The sequence below is a fragment of the Homo sapiens genome, chromosome 10 (assembly GCF_000001405.40).
Source record: "Homo sapiens chromosome 10, GRCh38.p14 Primary Assembly".
NCBI lineage: Eukaryota > Metazoa > Chordata > Mammalia > Primates > Hominidae > Homo > Homo sapiens.
The window spans coordinates 72,517,234-72,533,685 of NC_000010.11; the positions used below are offsets into that span (position 1 = coordinate 72,517,234).

A 16,452-nucleotide genomic window follows, 5' to 3' on the forward strand; every position below is an offset into this window, starting at 1 on the left:
CCTGATTCTACCATTTGATCCAGCAATCCCACTACTGGGTATTTACTCAAAGGAAAAGGAGTCATTATACAAAAAAGATACTTGCATATGCATATTTATAGCAGCACAATTCACAACTGCAAATACGTGGAACCAGCCCAAATGCCCATCAATAAACAAGTGGATAAACAAACTGTGGAATATGCATACGATGGAATACTACTCAGCCATAAAAAGGAACGAATTAATGGCATTCGCAGCAACTTGGATAGGACTGGAAACTATTATTATAAACGAAGTAACTCAAGAATGGAAAACTAAACATTGTATGTTCTCATTCATAAGTGGGAGCTAAGCTATGAAGATGCAAACGCATAAGAATGATACAATGGACTTTGGCGACTCGGGGGTGTGGGGAAGGGTGAGGGGGTGAGGGATAAAAGTCTACAAATTGGGTTCAGTGTACACTGCTCGGTGATGGGTGCACCAAAATCTCACAAATCACCACTAAAGAACTTACTCATGGAACCAAATACCACCTGTTCCCCAAAAACCTATGGAAATAAAACTTTTTTTTTTTTTTTAAAGAAAATGTCAAGTAAAATGATCCTTCATTTAATCTTTTAGATGGTGTTTAATCTTTTACTAAATTTTAAGTCATTCTTTCCCCTAAGCAAACACCACTTATACACTTCAGGGGTGATATGGAGGCATATTCCAAGGAGAATATAATCTTATCAGACTGGTAGTAATGTTCTCTCACTGCCCCAGAAGTAGTTATTTACATTTTTTGTTATTTTATTGTGTTGTTTTCTTTTCTTCTTTTTTTTTTTTTCCTGAGATGGAGTGTTGCTCTGTCCGCCAGGCTTGGGTGCAATGGTGAGATCTCAGCTCACTACAACGTCTGCCTCCCAGGTTCAAGCGATTCTCCTGCCTCAGCCTCCTGAGTAGCTGGGATTACAAGCATGTGCTACCACACCCAGCTAATTTTTGTATTTTTTTGTAGAGACAGGGTTTCACCATGTTGGCCAGGCTGGTCTCAAACTCCTGACCTCAAGTGATCCTCCTGCCTTGGCCTCCCAAACTGCTGGGATTACAGGCGTGAGCCACTGCACCTGGCCTGTTTTCTTTTTTAAAAAAATTTGTGTTATTAATACACATTTATATTAATATGTAATTTTTACTAGAAAGTATAACCTAAGGATTTATATTTAATTCAATATATGTAGTAAATTCAAATATAGTAAACTATAAGAAAGAAATTTTTTAATATAAAAGTTGAAAGAAATAGAACACACTTCAATTCTATTGTAAGGGTATATAATGTGAGATTAGGTAATAAATTATCAGTTCAGTTAAAAAAATTTTAGTAAGGGTCTATGAGAAATTTGTTTCATCTTCAAGTTCCTGAGGTAAGACTCTACCAATCCTTCAGTATACATGCTGAAAATTATTTAAATAGAACTGGATATTCTTTTTTTTCTCTTTGAGATGGAGCCTCGCTCTGTTGCCCAGGCTGAAGTGCAGTGGAATGATCTCGGCTCATGGCAAACTGCCTCCTGGGTTCAAGCGATTCTCTTGCTTCAGTCTCCCGAGTAGCTGGGATTACAGGCATGTGCCACCATGCCTGGCTAAGTTTTGTATTTTTAGTAAAGACAGGGTTTCACCATATTGGCCAGGCTGGTCTTGAACTCCTGACCTCAAGTGATCTGCCCGTCTCGTCCTCCCAAAGTGTTGGGATTACAGGCGTGAGCCACTGCTCCCAGCCAGAATTGGATATTCTTAAAAGAGATTGTAATTGCAGATACCTTACAGAGCATTATGTTGTTTTATGTGGCTTAGAAGTTACATTTCAAACTTGATTCCAATCACTTGAATCTCTGAAATTAAGGATATGGAAGCAGAATGCAGGTCAAATGACAAGAATAGCATTTCTATTCAATTTACTGACCAATGTTACCTCTTCTTAGAGAAGAAAATTATGCAAAATGTTTTAAAGCAATGTGCTAACTTAAATGAACAAAATATAACTGTTTTACTATTCACTGATATGACCTAGTCTTAGATCTTACTTATTTCAAAACTTAAAGTGTAGTTATAGGTACAGTATCACCAACCCATTCAAATTACTGATCTCAAGTAAAGGCAAATGGACATTATTACAGGTTTCTGGTATTGATCTCAACTGCACCATATCCTGGATATTTTCATTTTTTAGATAAGCAGAAAGACTTGAAAGTAAACTTATTATATAGCAAATTATACACTACACATGTGTAACTGTTACACTTCACAGTAAGTCAAAAACCTAGATTTTTGTACCAGATGACTTTATGCTGAAGCACTCACACTTTAGTTTCTGACCAATCACATAAACTTATAAAATACATGGTTAAAGTTGCTGGTGCCATGAGGGGCACTGGAACTGGGATTTCCAGACTCATGAGCGCTAAGTGTGCTCAAACAGTAAATCCTAACTAGTTACAGGGTTGATCAAAATAGGGTTGGTAATTTTGCCTTCTGGGACTCAAGTATATGAAGCCAAAGAGAGAAAACATATCTAGAAACTTATTTCTTCTAGTTAAGATCTAATTTTCAAGTTATAAAGTTAAAAAAACTTTTTCTAGTTAAAGAAGTTGATGGACTATGTCTGCAAAATCAATGCTTACATATCATCCAGAAATTCAAAACATCTTTGGCATATAGAAAATGTGATGAAGAACACAGCTTTACTATTTAAATTAAAGTGTCATCCTTTATGGGGATGAAATCCTTGGGTTATTTTAGTATTAATATTTTGCTACATTGCTGAAATACATTCAAAGTCTATCTAAATCCCTTGAGTAATATTTGAGGTTGTACATCAAAAACAAATTAATGATAATATGCTTCTTCTGGAAAATACAATTTTGGCATATCATTTCCAAATGACAAATAGTATTTCTATCTAAGGTTGGGGTCAAGGTATGCGGTGGGGTGTTAGAAAGAAAGAGAAAATTCAGCAATTTTCCCATGCAATTAATGCTTACACTTCATTATCTAGTTGGTGCATGGATTGATGCCAAAGCCTTGGTAAAACATCAATCTTAAACAATCACACTATTTCCAATCAAATTAAAAATGTTGCACAGCTAAAATATGTTTTTCTTATTCCCCACCCCATCTCTGAACTTGCAGAAGGGTAGAATTTGGGGATATATCAGATAACAATGAAATCAAAATGTTTCTAATTTGAAGTAGTTTATGATTCCTCCTTCTGACTCAAATTTTCTTCTAAGCTTTTCAAAGGTAATATCGCATTTGAGGCAAACACACATAAATTACTGTGCAACAAACTGGAAGGTGAATGCTTAAGATACTGTAAACTTCACTATGCCAGAAAGCAATTCTCTTTTCAGTCCCAATTCTAACCACCTCAGCTGTGAGAACAATTCCAAATACCTGGAATGCAAAGGTTTTCTTATCTCATTAACTAGATGGCTTCAAAGATGGTACAAATGAAGATGTTTTTAAAAAACAGTGGCAGATGATTTGATTAAAAAGCAATAATAAAACATTTTAAAAGTCTACTGGAATGGCATTAACTTTAAGGAAACGATACAACTTTACTGCAAAGGTTTGTTTTAATCCTCAGTATCTGAACGAGGTATTATCAAAACTCTAGAAGGAGAAAATCTTCAACTCTACCATGTTATTTCTGCATACTAGCTTCAAAGCAGCTTTGAGCAGGGGAATCTATGTTTTATGACTTGATTATCTGCTACCTAAATCTAAGAATTTAATTTTGAACTTTGGCCACTCAAATGGATCAATGCTAAAAAGAAAGTCCTGAGATCAGCAGCAGTGTTGTTTTTAGTCACTTGGGTTATAAAAAGTTTCTCTATCACTTAATGTAAAAACAATCTCAAGTAAAAATCTTGAAAAATAAGTCAATATAGTGATTTCACCTTCTTTCACTTGGAAAAAAATTTGTATAAGAAAAAAATGTATCATAAGAACAAAAATTAAAGTTTCACTCTGAGGATCACCGTTCACAACCTTGATCTAAACTGCTTTAGTAACTATCACCTCCCAAGAAACCGTGTTGATGAAGGACTTTAAAAGCAATTTTGAAAGCAAACAAACATTTATAGGTATCCCTTAAGCACCAATGACCATTAAAGACAACATTAAAGACCATGAAAAACTTAAGCATTATACTTCGCATATTCTGCAAGTATATGAATTGGAAGTGGCTGACCTCAATTACAGGTGTCAGCATCTCATTTGATTTATTCTCTTTAGTAAATGCCAGGCACTGTGCTAGGTACTTTATATTTGCATTATCTCTTTAAGTCCTTATTGCATACTATTATCTGCACTTTATGGATAAGAACACTCAGGGTTAGAGAAGTCACATAAGTAGCCAAAGGTGACAATACTATTAAGTGGCAGGAGACTCCAGAGCCCATGTCATGAATCATTATATGTTACATTGTATCAACTGCACAGGAACACACTGGGTATCTATATTGTTCACAATTTCTGGAAAATGTTAATCAGGACTGAATATTTTTGAAGTAGTTCACTACCATAAAATATTTACCTTGGGGCTTAGCTTGTATCCACTAAGTTAACTTGAAGTTGAAGAGGAAAGTCCAAGCCAATGATACAGGTGCACTTTTTTTTTAAGGCTTTCACTTACTCAAATGCATATTTCAATCATTTTGAAATGTGCATCACTTCAAGAGTGTAATGTTCTTTATAATTTTTAATTAATAAATGTTAGATTAATCTGTAATTGGTGAAGTTTTTCATTCAAGTTTAGAATTTTAAAAAATACATCATGCCAAAAACAAATATGCAAATAAAGGACTATCCTCACACATTCTCTACAACCAAAGATTATAAATAGATGGTCAGGCTAAGTTGAGAACTCATTTTACCAGAAGAGAAGGAGAAATAACTTGTTTAGTATACTCTTATAGAACTTTATTTATGTGACCTTAAGCATGCTAGAATGTGCTAAAATATAAGAAAAAAGAAGTTGGCCTGGAACTGAAGAAAGTTCTCTGATAGCAAAGTGATTTTTGAATCTTGTTTTATGATGAAAAAGCTAAAGATGAAGGTGTAAGAAATGCAATGGTTAGTCATGTTTATGTTTTCAAATCAACAATGATAAATCAAATGGGTTCATTGATCCCAAATTCAAACACAACATAATCTAAAATAAAAATGGATGTAAAGATATTTTAATAGGAGTCTGAATATTTGAGACAACTAAGTAAACTACACCCTCCTTTGGCACACTTAATGATTACATTATTATTTATTTTCTCAACTTGAATAATCAAACACATGGGTTAGATTAACAAACTTTAGTAGTGGTGGAACTCAGAGACTGGAAAGAGACATTATGGATACTCCTCACAGCAGTCTAAGTATTTCACAGCATTAATAAACTGCATCTGAAGAACAGCATTCTATGCTACCAGGAAAACAAAACAATCCCAGACTTTCCACAGGCAATAGAAACTTAGCATGCAAAGAACAAGTCACTGCAAAGAAGCAAGCAAGAAATGCCTCTTCTACAAAGTAACTGTTCATTGACCTTTGGAAGCTTAAAGGATTCATACTAGTGTCACCAAAATGAGTGATACTCATAGAACACAATGTAGGTAAACAATTCTCCCACTACCTAAGAAAAAGGTTTATTATTATTCTTTAATGTAAAAAGTTTATTCATAAGATAGACTTAAGAATGCAGAAAAGCTTGATTTTGAATCCCTGATCAACCAAGGACACTACCTTAAACAGTGAAAGTTTAAAGAAGACTGGTGCTGTTTTGTCACCTAGTGTGGTTGACTACTTAATGCTGCAGATTCCAGAGACTTTTAAGCACTTACCAACTGCTGCCTCTCTTATCTATTCCTAATTAGTAAGGACACCTATCCAAGTCCAGCCATTGTAAATCTTCCAGCCGTAAGCCATACAATTATTAAAGGAGAGGAAGAGTTTTTAGCTACCCTCTACAAACTGTCCTACCATAATCAGAGAACCGGAAGTGGCTGGCCTCAATCACAGGTGTTAGTATCTCATCTGATCTATTCGGTACTCTGTATGATGTTTGTGCCATGGCTGTTCTAAAATAGAATTCCCAGGATTAGAAACATTGATAATGGAATCGTCTATACGTTATTCTGACATAATTTTTAATGTATTTGTTGGTTTGGTTCAGAATGCAGTTAAAGACAAAGGTATTTAGGAAGATAATCCATTGTACTAATAATAAGATACCTAATTTGAGGGTTTGGTAAGAGGGACTACCAAAAATTACACCCCATTTTTCAAACAAAGGAAGTATAGAAAAAATGTACTGTAAAAATAAAGAGCACCCTGTGGTCTTCGTTAGTTATATTAGTTATTTTAAACCAAAAGATGTTTATAATTCAGCTTAATTTATATTTAATTACTACAACTCAGTTTAATTTATATTTTTAAGACTGCCAGCCACCAGAAATGTGAGAGTAATATTTTAATGAATAAATTTTAATAATTTATAAACTACCATTAAAGAGCCCAAGCCTTCAAAGATCAATTTAAAAAGTACCTTTAGGAGTGTCCTTGAAGATCTCCTTGGCCCGTCTGTAAGTATATATTCTTTTCATGGTTTTCTCCAAATATTTAGTTGCTTTTCCAAATTAAAGTCATTGATTAGCTCAGAAAAGCAAAATAATAAAGTCTTTCTAGGTGTCCCATTTGTTTCCCCTTAAGCCATTTTACTGAGCAAAGTGCAACCAAGCAACTGCTTATTTGTATTTATTATGTAAGAAATTTCAAAAGAAAAAAAGATTAATTTTTAACTTGAAGTTACTGTTGTCTCATCAGTCCTGTTACAGTTCAAGTAGGAACATAATATCCCAAATAAGACTTTTTTGTTTTTGTTTTAGAGACAGGGTCTCACTCTGTCACCCAGGCTGGAGTAGTGTCACAATCTTAGCTCACTACAACCTCCAACTCCTGGGATCAAGCGATCTTCCCACGTCAGTCTCCTGAGTAGCTAGGACTACTACTGCTTTTAAATGTTTTCATAGAGATGAGGTCTTGCTATGTTGCTCAGGCTGGTCTTGAACTCCCGGTTGCTCAAGTGATCCTCCTGCCTCTGCCTCTCAAAGTGCTGGGATTACAAGCATGAGCCACCAGACCCGGCCTCCAAGTAAGACTATTTAAGTGACTCAATTAATTAAGTATCTCTTATGCTTAACAAGAGTGATTACAACAAAATTTCTTAACCTTTTGTGTAACACATAATGTTAAAACTTCCTTTTAAATCATGCTGGGTATCAAATTCTCTGGGACTTGTGCAGTGCTTGGATTGTCATATTAAAGATAAAGTATGTTAATTTAAAGTGACAGGAACGAAATCATTCTGAAGGGAGCAGGGCAAGGACATATGCATCATGCGCTGAACCTTTGTTCCTGAAGCATTACTATGGATTTTGGAGCATTAAGTAATTTAAAGCACATGCTGCTGAGTCAGTACCTGCCAGAAATCCTAATCAGAAGATGAGAAAAAGAAAAAACATTGACATTGTTTGATTATATGAACAAACTAATCAAATATACATATCACAAAACATAATATACAAAGAAACAGTTAAAACCTGTAATAATATCACTGAACACCTGGAAGTAGGAAATGAGGAATACATAGAAATGTTTTAGATATTATCTGCTAGGCACAAAACAAAACAAGGATGTCTCATTACTGTTTCTATATATAATATTTTTTTAACTTCATGGCAAATAGTTGCTTTGCCACTCATATTAATATAGGCAATCAAATATGGATGAGTTCAGATAATTAGTAACTACTCTAAGAAAGAGTACATAATGGCTCCTTAGAAAAAGGTCTCCTCCAAAATTATGCTGCATTAAATAAAGTGATACCCACATTGGTATTAAAAAAAAAAAAGCAGTCATCCTGAAGGCTGGCATTTGGACAAGCAGTTGTTGTTAGCTAATTTAGCTGGGTACCACTCCAAACTATTTTCAAATATCAAATGGTTTTAAAGATTTTTTTCAATAAATAAACTTCACTGACCAGGAAATAAAATTTGACCTATATTTACCATCCTATTCTAACCACACTGAATAGCATTGTAAAATTTCTTGACTGAAAAATGGATGCTATTAACAATTCACAAGCCTACAGCTGGAACTTATGTGACAGAGCCCAAGGGATTTTACGGCACAGGAATGAGATGAATCACTGTGAACACAGGACAACTGAGACATGTGAAATCAAACTGGGGGCCTCTCTTTAGTTAATGGACTCGGTATTTAACCCGGGCTAGTTGCTCATTACAGAGATAGCACAGGAGATTTTTATAGCTAATTAAACTGGGAAGGAAAGGACTGTGGAGAGAACAATTACGCAGAGGGTATACTAGTCTGCAGCTTTTCAAGTAAACGAAGAAAGAAAATCATATATATGATAGCAGAGAACTCCTTTCTTAAACTGAGTAAAGGGCTCAAAGTCATGCAAAACAGCTATAATTTGTAGAGCTAGATACTTTACCTATTGTCCCAATTTTACTGAGAATGTAACTGACAGAGAGGTTAACTGGTCTCTTGCTCAAGGTTACCCATCAGTTATGTGGGAGAGCCTATATTTAAATACAGGACTGTCTATATCCAAAGTCCACACTCTTCATCCCACTCTATTACACATAAAGAAGTTCAGCAATCCACAAGACTATGTTTTTCATACCAATTCAGCATACTTTATAACATCTACTAACCATTTACACACAGCTGCCAAACAGAGTACTGAGATACTCAAAATGGAAATGCCTTGGAAAATATTTCAGATACCAAAGCCAGATTTTTTTTTTTAGGGTTATGGTATATAAAAAAGAACTAAAGTTGCTAATTTGAAAGAGGAGCTAAAACTGAGTAAATGTTTTAAAAATAATTTAAAGAACTTTGGATGGGAAAGAAGGAAGATGGCAAAATCTGTAACTAAAAATAAAACAAAATTCCAGCAGGTGTGAAAGGATATGAAATGTTGAATTTGTTCCTCAATTCACTTTTGCAAATTAATTACATTCTTTTTTTTTTAAGACAGAGTCTCACTCTGTTGACCAGGCTGGAGTGCAGTGGCACAATCTTGGCTCACTGCACCTCCGCCTCCCGGGTTCAAGTGAATCTCCTGCCTCAGCCTCCCAAGTAGCTGGGATTACAGGCGCCTGCCACCAAGCCCAGCTAATTTTTGTATCTTTAGTAGAGTTAGGGTTTCACCATGTTGGTCAGGCTGGTCTCGAACTCCTGACCTCAAGTGATCTGCCTGCCTCGGCCTCCCAAAGTGCTGGGATTACAGGCATGAGCCACTGCGCCCAGCCAGTAAATTAATTACATCCTAAATTTTGCTTGTCTAAAGACTATAATGAGCAGCTCCATTCAAATGATGCTATATTTAACATATAATTAATCAATATTTGAAAGAGTTAATAAATTGTTTAGTTTATAATAGTAAATTGTAGAGACAGGATTCCAAATTATCTTAAATACTACATGATACCACCTTTCCTATGTCTAATCCAGTTGTGTATACGACCTCTTAAAAATTTTACTACCTTACCTAATACTGTTTGCTCAAAAAAAAACCTTGATTATAATCAGCAAAGATCCAAGTTTTCAAATACAGGTGACAGTGCTTACTTTAAGAGTAATGGCTTCAAAAAAAAAAAAAAAAAAAAGAAAGCACTTCTGAAGATGTCAAGTGGTACTCATGGTATATGAAACAATAATGGAGCCAGTAACAGTAAAATTGATATTCTGATTTTTAAATTCAGGTATTAAAATGTATATATCCCATATTTTCTTTCTATAAAATGAAGTGTTATGTGGTTTCTCAGGTTAGTATGAATTTCTAGCTGTACTTTATCAAAGCAGAAAAGATTAACTTCAACTCTTAGCAAAAAGAAACAAACATCAAGGTTTTTTTTTGAGCAAACAGTATTAAGGCAGTAAAATTTTAATAAAAGGTCATACAGACAACTGGATTAGACATTCAGAAGGTGGTATCACATAGTGTTCAAGAGAATTTGGAATCCTAGCTATATGATTTTAAGCTAGCTACTTATCTTTTCTGTACTTTTTCTTTTGTTTTTGTTTTGTTTTGTTTTGTTTTTTTGAGACAGGGTCTCACTCTGTCGCCCAGGCTGAAGTGCAGTAGTGCAATCTGCAGCCTCTCCCTGCTGGGCTCAAGCAGTCCCCCGACCTTATCCTCCTGAGTAGCTGAAACTATAGGCATGCATCACCACACCTGGCAACCTTTTGTATTTTTTGTAGAGAAGGGCTATTGCTATGTTGCCCAGGGTGGTCTGGAACTCCTGAGCTCAAGTAGCCTCCTAAAGCACTGGGATTACAGGCATGAGCCACCGTGCCCAGCCCCTATTTTCTCAATCCGTAAAATGATGATAAAAATAGACAGCTTAAGATAGTGGTTGTGTGCACTAAATGAGTAATTATGTATAAGCCTGGAACATAATAAGCACTCAAAAAGCTTCTTATTATTGACGATAATTCCCACAAGACAAATATAGTCAAGCATTTTTCATTTAGAAATTTCACTTTTCTTTTCTTTCTTGAGACGGAATCTTGCTCTATTGCCCGGCTGGAGTGCAGTGATGCCAATCCAACTCACTGCAACCTCCGCCTCTCAGGTTCAAGCTATTCTCTGTCTCAGCCTCCCAGGTAGCTGGGATTACAGGTGTGCACCACCATACCCAGCTAATTTTTAGATTTTTAGTGGAGATGGGGTTTCACCATATTGGCCAGGTTGGTCTTGAACTCCTGACCTCAAGTGATCCACCTGCCTCGGCCTCCCAAAGTGCCGCGATTACAGGCCTGAGCCTCTGGGCCTAGCCCAGAAATTTCACTTCAAACCAAAAAAATAAACCACTGACAACCAATGAGTGAAAATGAGGTTTTAAAAAAGGGCCCAGTCATCATGCCCAAAGTAACATGTGACTTTGAAATATCTGTGAGGAACTTCTGGCTTCAAGGAAATACTTTTATTCTCTTGGCATCTGTTACAGTGTTTTTAAAGCAAGAATTTCCCTATATAAAGAAAAAGAAAGCAGAAATGATATACCCTACTTTAAAAATGGGATAGGGCAAATGAAAACACAGATAACAAGAAAGACTAATAAAATTATATTTACATATTCATATTTAGCCAAAAACCTGAATAAATATATTAATTAACCAAGAATTTCCACTTGAGTGGTTTCAGGTCTCTGGAAGCCAAGAGAGAGAGGGAAAGACATGGCTAATTAACAATGCAGAATTACATGTCATATTAACCTGTTATCTAAATTTGACTAGAGTAGTTCAAATAAATGTGGAGAATTCATCAAACCCTGTCCCATGAGACTTTTAGTACCCTATGTCGTAATTTACATTTCCTCAATCTTCAAAACATTTAACTCTTAAAAGACAGAAAATTTCTTAACAACTTACTATATATGTCAAGGAGTAAAACTACACTTGACCTTATTCTAGGGTCTTATTTTATCTGAGAAATAAAGTAAATAATTAGAACTCGAATAAAGCACGAAGAAGTATTACATTATAGGAAAAAATGTGTTCATATTCTCTTTAGAAGAACCAACAATTTCCCCCAAAAGGAATGGTATTTTAAAGTTAATTTGTTAATATTTTCAAAAAGAACTTTCACCTAGTAAAAGAGAATGTAGTAATATTAAAGCTTTGATTTTCAACTATGACTTCCATCTGTTCCTCTACTAATCATATTGTCTGTTATAAACACTATAATCAATACTTCCCTTTCTTGGTTTTGACTATACTTTTATCTCTTTACAGATAAATGTGGATAATATTTCATTTTTATTTGATGTAAAATGTTTTCTTGTTCCATGTAAACAAATATTCTTGTAGATAACATAAAGGAGGTGGAAATAAAATACACATAAATTTTTTCTTCCAAGTTTGAGAGACTGTCAAGGTTCTGAGGGGACTGTAGTTACAAATAATGGAAAAACTCAATTCAGAGGCAGTATTTCTGAAACGTTCAGGGAGAGGTTGGGGGAAAGGGGAATCAATAGGTAGGAAAGAATAACAAATCTATTCTCTAAAAAAGAAATACATGGTGGTATGATGATAATGAACAATTGGTTTCAATAGACAATTTTATTGCTTGAAAATAGTGTATAAACTATAGCTTTTAGAAGACATAAGGGGACTGAATCCAACGTTGCGGAAATTGGTATTCCTTGCTTAAGGAACAATTTCATCTATACCAAGAAATTTTATTCTGTGACTTTATAAAAAAACATGGTGATGTTTGATGTGGAGAAAGTTGTCTATTACATGCAATAGAAACAGGAAATACAAAATATAATTTCTATCTTTGGTTTGCTGAAGGAAAAAAGGGGTAAGAGAAAATGGGAAAATAAAGAAGGCTACAAACCACTTGAAATAAATCATGCAAATAAAAGAGAGCAACTAAATGATTACATGAAAGAAATATTTAACAATAATGTAAAATAAAGCCTCCACTTAGAAATAATTGCTTTGTTTTATATGCCAACTAGATGGTAAAATCATAAAAGATGATAAATGAAACAAAGAAAAAATATAGTTTTCATTAAATAAATAATCCAAATTCATGAAATGACTGTATTGACAAATTGTTAGCAGAATACATGGATACTAGGGGAAGGTGCTTTTTTTTTTTTTTTTTTTTTTTCTTTTCACAAGAAGGATTCAACACAGGAAGGTGCATTTAGAAAGAATCTATGACATATTACATTAAAACAAAAGCTGGCAGGACATGGTGGCTCACGCCTGTAATCGCAACACTTCGGGAGGCCAAGGTGGGCAGATTACCTGAGGTCAGGAGTTCAAGACCAGCCTGGCCAACATGGTAAAACCCCGTCTCTACTAAAAATACAAAAAAATTTAGCCGGGTGTGGTGGTGGATGCCTGTAATCCCAGCTACTCAGAAGGCTGAGGCAGGAGAATCGCTTGGGAACCCAGGAGGCAGAGGTTGCAGTGGGCCGAGATCACGACATTGCACTCCAGCCTGGGTGACAGGAGCGAAACTCCATATCAAAATAATAATAATAATAATAATAATAATAATAATAATAATGCCAGAATATATTTTGTATTACCATCTCTATAATGCTAATAAGCTATTTATAATAATTTTCAAATGTCTTCTAAGAGAAAATCCGAACTCTTTCAAGATTTGAAGTTTTAAACTTTTAAACCTAGTCTCATATTTTCAAAATAATATCACTTATCTACGAAACATATTCTTAAAACCAGTGGTAACCATAGCTGTTACCATTCTTTATACGAGACCTATGATAGTAGATGGTTTGGAAATGCAATAGACTATGCAAGTGCCAATAATAATGTATTTCATAACTTTTCTACAAGGGAAATTTCTAGTATTCTAAAAGTATTAGTGTCCATTAACATAAAGTAATAATGGGCTCTGGAAAAAGATTCAACTACAAATTCAAAAGCTGCTTAATTAAATTCAGTTCTCACTGACTATCAGTTGAAATAGTAATGTCTTATTTACTTCTTACAGGGAACCTTCTAGTTAATTAAACAGATCAGGAAAAAAATATTTTAGCAAAACAAGAAATAACTATCCAATTATTTGTCAATATCAGTTGCACCACTCTTTCCTATTTTGCATCTGGAGGTTCCATTATTCAGGTAGAAATTTAAAACATCCCAGGAAAATATTATTTTTATATTTGTTCTTACTTTCAATGACAAAAAGGCTGAAGTTTAATTCAATTAGAAGGCAATAAAATAAGCTAGTGTTTGTTACTGGTCAAATTTTGGACTTTGTTAAATGGTGTGCTAAAAGTTAAGATAATGGGGGCTAAGACAATAGGAGTAAATAATTCTTTCTCTAAGATTTAATAGTTTATCTTCCAAATTAAAAAAAACAGAGGGAGAGGGAAAAAAATTATCCATTTAAAAATCAAAGCAAGTCTAAAAGGAAATTCCTCTTAGGTGTTTAGCTTTCTAACTACATTTCTGGCTATAATGCATAAAATTACTATAATATCATTACACACAAATCTGTTTTTTTAACAGAAAATTGTCTTAGAATTCATATATTCTAGAAGCAGTTACTTAAGAATTAAGATTTTCTGGATGAGAGAACAAAAGAGTCATGAAGATCTAAAGAAAAATGATGGTGGCTCATACCTGTAATCCCAGCACTTTGCGAAGCCAAGGCGGGCGGATCATGAGGTCAGGATATCGAGACCATCCTGGCCAACATGGTGAAACCCTGTCTCTACTAAAAATAAAAAAATTAGCTGGGCATGGTGGTGTGTGCCTGTAATCCCAGCTACTTAAGAGGCTGAGGCAGAAGAATCGCTTGAACCAGGGAGTCGGAGGTTGCAGTGAGCTGAGATGGTGCCACTGCACTCCAGCCTGGCGACAGAGCGAGATTCCATCTCAAAAAAAATAAAAAATAAAAAAAGAAAGAAAAATGAAAAGACTGACAGTTGAGAAAGTACTGACAGTTACAATTATCAAGCGAAAGACTTCATACATAACAAAAAAACATGGAAAACTTTTAAACTGATCAAACAATAAATGAATTTATTCATTACATAAGGTTTTATTTTTTTTTTTTTTAGTCCTTTATCTTTTTTTTTTGAGACGGAGTCTCGCTCTGTTGCCCAGGCTGGAGCGCAATGGCACAATCTTGGCTCACTGCAACCTCTGCCTCCTGGGTTCAAGTGATTCTCCAAATAACCAAAAAAAGTTATTTATTGCTTGGTGTGGTGGCTCACGCCTGTAATCACAGCACTTTGGGAGGCCGAGGCAGGCAGATCACGAGGTCAGGAGATTGAGACCATCCTGGCTAACACAGTGAAACCCCATCTGTACTAAAAATACAAAAAAAGTAGCTGGGCATGGTGGCGGGAGCCTGTAGTCCTAGCTACTCGAGAGGCTGAGGCAGGAGAATGGTGCAAACCCGGGAGGTGGAGCTTGCAGTGAGCCGAGATTGCTCCACTGCACTCCAGCCCAGGCGACAGAGCGAGACTCCATCTCAAAAAAAAAAAAGTTATTTATTAAAATGAATTTGCTATAAGTTATTACTGACTTAATGAGTCAGACCTCCACCAAGGAATATGTGATTGACTACTGTAGTTAATTTTTTGCAAGTCATTAAACATTTATTGTTGCCTCCTGTGTGCCAGGCCCATGCTGGACTCTGAGTGACACAAAAACAGGTAAGATAGGGACCTGACCCTCCAAAGACTCTGAAATCAGAAGTGTTGCAGTAAGTCCTCACATTGGATAGGGTACTTTACCATAGATAAAGCAGAGACACCAAGGATCAGAGAAAAGATGAAGCTGTCCCAAAGCAGAGTTAGGACCTTGAGCCGAGGTCTCCTAACATCTAGTTCAGCACTCTTCCTTTTTGATCATTCTTTTAGAATATGTGACTTTAAAAAGAGGATATTCACAGATGGAGGCATTTTAAGGCACTGTGCCACCTTAATAGGAAAGGTAACTTTTAGGCAGGTGGCCTTAGCTGAGATCTCTCCCAAATCTTAAGGCAGCTACTCATTCTTTTCACTTGTATAAAAGAGCTCAACACTTATCTCTCCACCTTACCAGGATATGGACTTTTATGTAATAATGCAGGAATTGGCACATTTCTGCAAAATCAGTTTTTACTAACCCTGACCTCTCCCCATCTAGACCCTCTTTTGTGATCCTGCCTTTTCCAGCCACTCCATGATTGTCCTTCTGACTTCCTGTTCATTGTGCTTTGTAGAACCATGCCTGGTTCTTTCTTCTTTCTGAAGTGCTTTCTTCCTCCTCTGTAAAATTGACCCTTTACTTTTCTTTCTGACCCTGTGTAATATTTTCTTTTTGGAGAATCTGGCCTGAAAGGAAAAAACATGTTTGACTGCTTTATGAGACAATAAAACTGAAAGTCTCATTTTCTATACCTAAGAATAATTTGTTATATTATTTATTCAGGTATAAATAATTAAAAATAAGTATAGTGCAAACTTATAGGCAAATCTGGAGCAGTCTTCATAATTATTACAAAAGCACTACAAGGACCTTTGTAATTTTCTAGTTAAGATTATTGCTAGACACTATCATAAAGTCTGAGAAAGGTCAAATCAGGGAAGCGTTTTGTAATAAATGCCAATACAGTATTGGGGGGCTTATTAATCTTTATGATGACTATTGAGTTAACATTCAAAAGTCAACAAACACTGAATTAGCCCTTAATATAAACAGGAGGCAATACATGAGAGTTACCTTACATGGAAAAATATAGAACCTTCTGCCTCTTTCTGTAGAGGTATGTAGAGGCACAGACCCCCTAACCTAAGCATGCTCTTTTGGTAAGATAAACAGGTATTCAGTGATTTCTCAAACATAACTATAGAGGAA

At 35.3% G+C, this 16,452-nt stretch overlaps 1 protein-coding gene across 24 annotated transcripts in view; it reads right to left on the minus strand.

Annotated features, from left to right (window-relative positions):
• The window catches only part of MICU1 (mitochondrial calcium uptake 1), a 258,740-nt gene that overhangs the window by 149,894 nt on the left and 92,394 nt on the right, over positions 1-16,452 (minus strand). For 2 of the 24 annotated variants that reach the window (NM_001441219.1, XM_047424440.1), the window contains exon 6: positions 15,762-15,929. The exons of 17 other annotated variants lie outside the window; for them this stretch is intronic. In NM_001441219.1, the coding sequence (NP_001428148.1) occupies positions 15,762-15,929 (168 nt within the window). Of the gene's footprint in view, positions 1-6,568; positions 6,754-7,501; positions 7,514-14,226; positions 14,481-15,761; positions 15,930-16,452 lie in introns of those variants that run through there. 5 more of the 24 variants (NM_001195519.2, NM_001441232.1, NM_001363513.2 and 2 more) reach the window with 4 other exon arrangements.